The 6,933-nt window shown below is 50.2% G+C and overlaps 1 protein-coding gene across 18 annotated transcripts in view, besides 3 other annotated features; it reads left to right on the top strand.

Moving 5' to 3' along the window:
• Positions 196–245: an enhancer, noted in NCBI's record as "active region_14972". NCBI's record gives its function as "activates an Ori minimal core promoter by ATAC-STARR-seq in GM12878 lymphoblastoid cells {active_cell/tissue: GM12878}" and the evidence as "EXISTENCE:reporter gene assay evidence [ECO:0000049][PMID:35858748]".
• Positions 522–6,933, top strand: part of VRK3 (VRK serine/threonine kinase 3) — a 48,905-nt gene continuing 42,493 nt past the window's right edge. For 8 of the 18 annotated variants that reach the window (XR_007066859.1, XR_007066857.1, NM_001025778.2 and 5 more), the window contains exons 1-2: positions 522–627; positions 5,247–5,309. The gene's annotated coding sequence lies outside the window, so the exon portion shown is untranslated. Of the gene's footprint in view, positions 980–5,246; positions 5,310–6,933 lie in introns of all 18 variants that reach the window. The other 10 variants (XR_007066860.1, XR_007066855.1, XM_005258972.5 and 7 more) reach the window with 3 other exon arrangements.
• Positions 586–665: an enhancer, noted in NCBI's record as "active region_14971". NCBI's record gives its function as "activates an Ori minimal core promoter by ATAC-STARR-seq in GM12878 lymphoblastoid cells {active_cell/tissue: GM12878}" and the evidence as "EXISTENCE:reporter gene assay evidence [ECO:0000049][PMID:35858748]".
• Positions 715–1,216: an enhancer, noted in NCBI's record as "H3K27ac hESC enhancer chr19:50527935-50528436 (GRCh37/hg19 assembly coordinates)". NCBI's record gives its function as "activates a minimal SCP1, AML or CMV promoter by ChIP-STARR-seq in naive H9 embryonic stem cells {active_cell/tissue: H9 hESC(naive)}" and the evidence as "EXISTENCE:reporter gene assay evidence [ECO:0000049][PMID:30033119]".

The raw sequence follows: 6,933 nt of genomic DNA, 5'->3' as shown, positions 1-6,933 counted from the left end.
ACTGTGGGAGTAGAGTAGAAAGAGAATCAGGACCAGGCGGCATCAGTTTGTAGTCCAGATTTTTACCTTGTTAAAGAATCATCTAATTAGCTTCTTGCCTTTACTAGAAGTCAGGGAGTGTTAACCTTTTCCGAAGAGCAAGCGGTAGGTTGCCATGGAAACGCGTTGTGACGGGTTTCTGAGAAAACAAGCGGAAGTAAGGGGCGGAGTTGAGGCAGAAGTTTAGGTAATGTGACCTCTGATTGGTGGAGAGGTACCTCACGGTGCATTCCGATTGGTCTGACACTGACACATGCGCAGTAGAACCAGAAGGCGTTCCAAAGCGGCTAGAACGGAGGGGAGGGGGATGAGCAATGAGGGAATAATCCCCATTCCGTCTGGAATCAGAGGGCGGGCCTGCCGCGGAGGCATCTGGGAAACGGAGTTCCCAGGCAGGCGAAGCCCAGGGGCCGTCAGGAAGTCAGCGGCGCCTGCGCGGGCGCCTCAGATTCAGGATGCGCGCGCAGCGCTCTCCGCCCAGCGGAAGTTTTCGCTGGGCAACTGAGAAGGTGAGTCCGGGTAACTGCGGAGGATCCGAGGGTCAGGCTGCAGAAGCCCAGAATCCCACCCCAGTCCCCAAGTACAGAGGTGAGGGGAAGCGAGGCGAACGAGGGGACGTCCCCCGACCCCCTAGCCGCAGCTCGGCCGGGGCGTCCGTGACGTCAGCACGACCGTTTGTGGGAGGCGGAGGCCCCTGCTGTCGGGGTTCGGAATGAGAGCGGCTCCGGGTCGCGGGGTTCACTGGCCTCCTCTTGAGCTTCCCAAGCCACCTTGGGCTCCGTGTTGGGCATGGCTAAGGCGGAGATGGGCGGAACTTGTGGGAAGTTCGACAGCTCCTCCGCTGTGAAACTTGGCGTCTAAGTCATCCCGTGGTTTCTATGGAGGTGCGGCCGAAGGGAGGCTCTGTCGTCGCCTAGGCAATCGCCCCACCTGCGCTGAGGTGGGGTCTGACTTTTAGCCTTTTTGCTGTGCTGTTTCCTGAACTTTCTAGGAGGAACACTATACAGTAGTTGACGCATAGCAGCTGTTCCCTAAACATTTGTTGAATAAGTCAAATAAATTAAGATAAAGACTGGCCTGAGGGTTGGAGTCTTAGGGTTTCAAGTCCTGACCTGGCCATTGCATAGGTGACTTCAGCACATCCAATTTTATTGAGCGTTTACTATATGGAAGGCTCCGTGCAACCGATATTACACTACTATAACCTGGGTTTGAACGGTGCTAGTCTAATAGGCACTGTTCAAGCCCAGGTTATTATAGCAGTGTCTAAAACAAAAATCCTGCCCAGCTAATTCACATTCTCAGGGTGGTTGGGGATGCCAGACACTAAAAAAGAAATGTTAAAGAATATTTACAGGTCTGCAGTCCCTTATCTATAACTTTAAAATCCAAAACGTTCTGAAAACTGAAAGGTCTTTTTCTCTGTTTTGCAACTTACTTGGCAGGCCAACCTCACCTGGCTTTGAACTTGTTTGCTGGCAATACCCACTCTGAACTGATGTGTGACTATTTAGAATTTTTAAAGATTTTGTTGTGCAAATCATATACTTATGGAGAGTTGCCCCTGGATCTCGCCGGTGTTGTAATATGTAATAGGTTCTAAAATCCAAAAAATTTGGCTGGGCACGGTGGCTCCCGCCTGTAGTCCCAGCACTTTAGGAGACCGAGGTGGGCGGATCACCTGGGTTCAGGAGTTCGAGACCAGCCTGGCCAACATGGTGAAACCCCATCTCTACTAAAAATAAAAAAATTAGCCGGGCATGGTGGCATGCGCCTGTAATCCCAGCTACTCGGGAGGTTGAGGCAGGGAGAATCGCTTGAACCCAGGAAGCGGAGGTTGCAAGTGAGCTGAGGTCGTGCCACTGCTCTCCAACCTGGGTGACATAGCAAAACTCTGTCCATCATGCAATACATGGCAGAAGCAAGATCCAAACCCAGGCAGATTATTTCCCAAGTTTATCCTCTTAACCCCTGTACTGATCTGCTTCTAAGTGGCACGTCTTTTTTAGGGACCATCCAGCTAGATAATTCCGGCCCTGAGCTTTGAGTCTCTGGCTGGATGTCTAGATTTGCCTGAGAGATGAATGTGTACTGACACAGCTGGGGACCCCCCCCACCCACCTTCTTGGCACATTTTCTTTTGCAAAGGAGACAATGATTTATTCACTCAGCAGACGTAGACCCAGCATTTGCTCTGTGCCAGGCCTGTTTGAGGCTCTGGGCACACTGTGGCAAACAAGGCAGGGAAAAGTCCCCGCCATCATGAAGCTTACATTCTAGTAAGTCAGAGTATGTCAGGTAGTGACAAGCACTGTGAAGAAAAATAAAGCAAGGTAAGGAGGATAAAACATGCTATTAGTAAAATGGTGTCCAGGGCCAGGCACGGTGGCTCGAGCCTGTAATCCCAGGACTTTGGGAGGCTGAGGGGGATCACCTGAGGTCAGGAGTTTAAGACCAGCCTGGCCAACATGGTGAAACCCCATCTCTACTAAAAATATAAAATTAGCCAGGCGTGGTGACACGCATCTGTAATCCCAACTACATGGGAGGCTGAGGCAGGAGAATCACTTGAACTCGGGAGGCAGAGTTTGCAGTAAGCCGAGATCGTGCCATTGCACTCCAGCCTGGGCGAAAAGAGCCAAACTCCATCTCAAAAAAAAGAAAAGAAAAAACACAGTAAAATCGTGTCCAAGAAGGTCTCTGAGAAGGTGACATTTGAACAGAGAGCTAAAGAATGTGATGAGGAAGTTAACTGTGTGCACTCTTAGGGGGACAGCGTTCCAGGCAGATGGGAGAGCAGGTGCAAAGGTCTTGGGGAAGAAACGTTCTTGTCACGATTGGGGAAAAGCACCGAAGCTGTTGTGGCTGACTCAGCGTGAGCAAGGGGAGAGGTGGGAGAGGTCAGAGAGGGAACAGGGAAGTGGCAGATCATACAGGGGGCTCCTGGGCCATGGTAGGAATTTCAGCATTTATTCTGTCTAAAATGAAATCCACCATACGGTTTTGAGTAGAGGAGGGACAGGGTCTGACTTACATTTTATTTATTTATTTGTTTATTTATGAGACTGAGTCTTGCTCTGTTGCCCAGGCTGGAGTGCAGCGGTGCAATCTTGGCTCATTGCAACCTCTGCCTCCCAGGTTCAAGCGACTCTTGCGCCTCAGCCTCCCAAGTAGCTGGGATTACGGGTGCCCACCACCACGCCCGGCTGATTTTTTTTTTTGTACTTTTTTAGTAGAGACGGGGTTTCACCATGTTGTCCAGGCTGGTCTGGAACTCCTAACCTCACGTGATCCGCCCACCTCGGCCTCCCAAAGTGCTGGGATCACAGGCGTGAGCCACCGTGTCCGACCCACCATATGGGCCAGGGCAGGGACACAGACAGGGTCTGACTTAGATTTTAAGTGGATCCGTCAAGCTACTGGGTTGAAAATAGATTGTAGGGACAAGCGTAGAAGCCGAAAGTCTAGTTAGGAGGCTGCTGCAGTAGCACAAGGGAGAGATGGTGGCCTAGACCAGGCTGGTGACGGTGTCAGAACCGGGGGTGGCACATGGTTAAAAGACTCTCTTGCCGTGGTTCCACACCCAACATCAGCTTCCAGATTTAAATCTACAAGAATGTTCTGACCTGCTGCCCCAAGAACCCAGTCCGGTTTTGCGTTTTCGTTGTATAAATTGGCACCAGGTGAAGAACATGGGCTTTTGGGTTCTGGATTTCAGCTGCGTCCCCACTGTTTTCTAGGTGAGTGGAGTCAGGTCTGGGGGAAGGAGAATTGTCACCCTTTGAGCATCATTTTGTAGGTTTCAAAGATGGGATAATCATCCCTACCTCATAGAGTGGAGGGAAAGATTAAACAAAATCATGTGTCTGGCTCGCCGCTTAAGAGGTTTGTGGCCCTGGGCAAGTCATTTGCTCTCTGAGCCTCTGCTTCTCATCTCCCCAAAGGGGAAATCATTCTTACCTTGAAAAGGGTGATTGGGAAGGTTCTGTAGATAATACCTGCCGAGAACTTAGCACAGTGGTCTGCACATACTGAACTGTCATGAAATGAGAACCGTCTTAAGTGAGTGACTTGACCTCTCTGTGCAGCAGGGACTCCCTGTCCCGGTTACTATGTCTAGAGAACAAATCGTCCCACAATTCACTGGTGTAGAACCACCATTTCTTGTGCCCATGGATCCTATGGGCCAGGAATTCAGAGTGAGCACAGTGAGGTGGCCTGTTTCTGCTCCCCAGTGCCTGTGCCTTAGCAGGAAGACTTGAAGGCTGGGGTTTAAGTGGTCTGAGGACTTGCCCACTCACCCAGCAGCTGATGGTGGCTGTTGGCCAGGGGCCTCAGTTCCTCTCCACCTGAGCCTCTCCATGTGGTTTCTCTGCCTGGGCTACTTTAGGCTGCCTCATGCCGTGGAAACTGGCTTCCATGGGTGAGCATCCTGAGCGAGCCAGCCAGGTGCAAGTTGTTTTTTATGACCCAGCCTGGGAAGTCTCATGGCCTTACTGCTGCCGGTCCTCTATTGGTAGGAGCAGTCACAGCTCTGCCGAGATCCAAAGGGGGAGGAACAGAGACCCTGACTCCTGGGAGGAGGGGTTACAAGGTTCCAAAGAGCACACAGGACCAGAAATAGTCATGTGACCTGCTTTGGAAAATACAAATGCCACACTCTCCTATGAAGTGGTGATAATTCTGGAACCTGCGTCCTGGGCTGTTGTATAGACTAAACAGGATAATGCATAGAAAGTTGTCTGCCTGAGGACTCCTTCCCAGATATTGACAGCTCGCTCCCTGGTTTCCTTTGGGTCTCTGCTCAGATGCCTCCCTCTGGGCGAGGCCCTCCTTGGCCACCCTGTGTGAATAGTGACCCACCAACCTCTGTGGCATCCTGTTTTCTTCTATGGTACTTTATTGTCCTCCATAGCCCTTTCTCCATCTGACCTGTTCAGCGGTTCCTTGCTCATTTGTTTGTTAGTGTCTCTTCCCCCACCAGAACGTGCGCATCCTGAAGACAGGGGCTGTGTTGTTTCCTTTGCTGCTGTTTCCCTAGTGGCTGGCATAAACAGGAAACTCGGTGAATAGTTATAGAGTAAATGAATAAACGAATGGATTTGGCACATGCTGGTGACATGGCCAGTGCTCAGTAAACATTAGCCATTATCTTTCATTTCTATGTGAAAGCATGAGTCAGCCTCTCCACTTTTGTTCACTTACAGGTCGCTGTCAAGATGGAGTTTCCAACCCAGTAAATCCAAGGGCCAGACCGTGACCTCATAAAGGTATTATCCCTTGGGCACAGCCTCTCAAGACCTTTTTCCTTTTTCCCACCAGCAGCTGGCTCCTGCTTGTCTCCTCTGGGTTGCTGCTGGCCAGCTTTACTCCCAGAAGGAACGTTGTCATAGGTATGGCAGGGCTCACCTGGTTAGGCACTTGCTGCATCCTGGAGGCATCTTTATTGGAGGGCAGTCAGCATCTGGGGAAATTCTATTTAACACGAAGCCGTGTAAAACCATCACAGATTTCTGCCAGGTGTGGAGGCTCACGCCTATAATTCCAGCACTTTGGGAGGCTGAGGCGGGTGGATCACTTGAGGTCAGGAGTTCGAGACCAGCCTGGCCAACATGGTGAAACCCCATCTCTACTAAAAATATAAAAATTAGCTAGGTATGGTGGCGCCTACCTGTAGTCCCAGCTACTCAGGATGCTGAGGCAGGAGAATTGCTTGAACCTGGGAGGCAGAGGTTGCAGTGAGCTGAGATTGCACCACTACACTCCAGCCTGGGCAACAAGAGCAAAAGTCCATCTCAAAAAAAAAAAAAATTAGCTGGGTGTGGTAGCGCATACCTGTAGTCCCAGCTACATGGGACACTGACAGGAAAATCGCTTGAACCTAGGAGACGGAGGTTGCAGTGAGCCAAGATCGTGCCACTGCACTGCAGCCTGGGTGACAGAGTGAAACTCTGTCTCAAAATAAATAAAACCATCACAGATTTCTAAACAAACGCTTTGTTCACATAAGAAGTCTAGACCAGGCATGGTGGCCCACACCTGTAATCCCAGCACTTTGGGAAGCCAAGGCAGGAAGATTGAGCTTGAGCTCAGCAGTTCGAGACCAGGGCAACATAGCAAGACCCCATCTCTACAAAAAGTAAAAAAAAAAAAAAAAAAAAAAAAAAAAAAAAAAAAAAAGGCCAGGCATGGTGGCACATGCCTGTAGTCCCAGATACTTGGGAGACTGAGGTGAGAGGATGGCTTGAGCCCAAGAGCTCGAGGCCGCAGTGAGCCATGATCATGCCATTGCACTCCAGCCTGAGTGACAGGGTGGGACCCTGTTGCTAAAAAATAAAAAAGAAGTGTACAGTCTGGCTAGGCTAGGCTTCAGCAACAAGCAACTTCTAAATCTTAGTAGTTTATCACAATCACACATTATTTCTCGCTAATACAACTTTCCAGGCACCAGCCTCTATACAGTTTAAAAATACATATATTTTTAATTAGCCAGGCATGGTGGCCCACGCCTGTAATCCTAGCTACTCGGGAGACTGAGGCAGGAGAATCGCTTGAACCCGAGAGGTGGAGGTTGCAGTGAGCCGAGATCGCGCGACTGCACTCCAGCCTGGGTGACAGAGCGAGACTCCGTCTCAGAAAAGAAAAAATTTTTGTTTAATTTTTTTTCTTTTTTTTTTTTTTTTTTTTTTAGAGACGGAGTCTCGCTCTTTCTCCCCGGCCGGACTGCAGTGGTGCTATCTCGGCTCACTGCAAGCTCCGCCTCCCGGGTTCATGCCATTCTCCTGCCTAAGCCTCCCGAGTAGCTGGGATTACAGGCGCCTGCCACCGCGCCCAGCTAATTTTTTGTATTTTTAGTAAAGATGGGGTTTCACCGTGTTAGCCAAGATGGTCTCG

The sequence above is a fragment of the Homo sapiens genome, chromosome 19 (genome assembly GCF_000001405.40).
Source record: "Homo sapiens chromosome 19, GRCh38.p14 Primary Assembly".
Classification (NCBI taxonomy): Eukaryota; Metazoa; Chordata; class Mammalia; order Primates; family Hominidae; genus Homo; species Homo sapiens.
The sequence above is the reverse complement of the archived record's forward strand: the minus strand, read 5'-3'. Positions and strand labels throughout refer to the sequence as shown.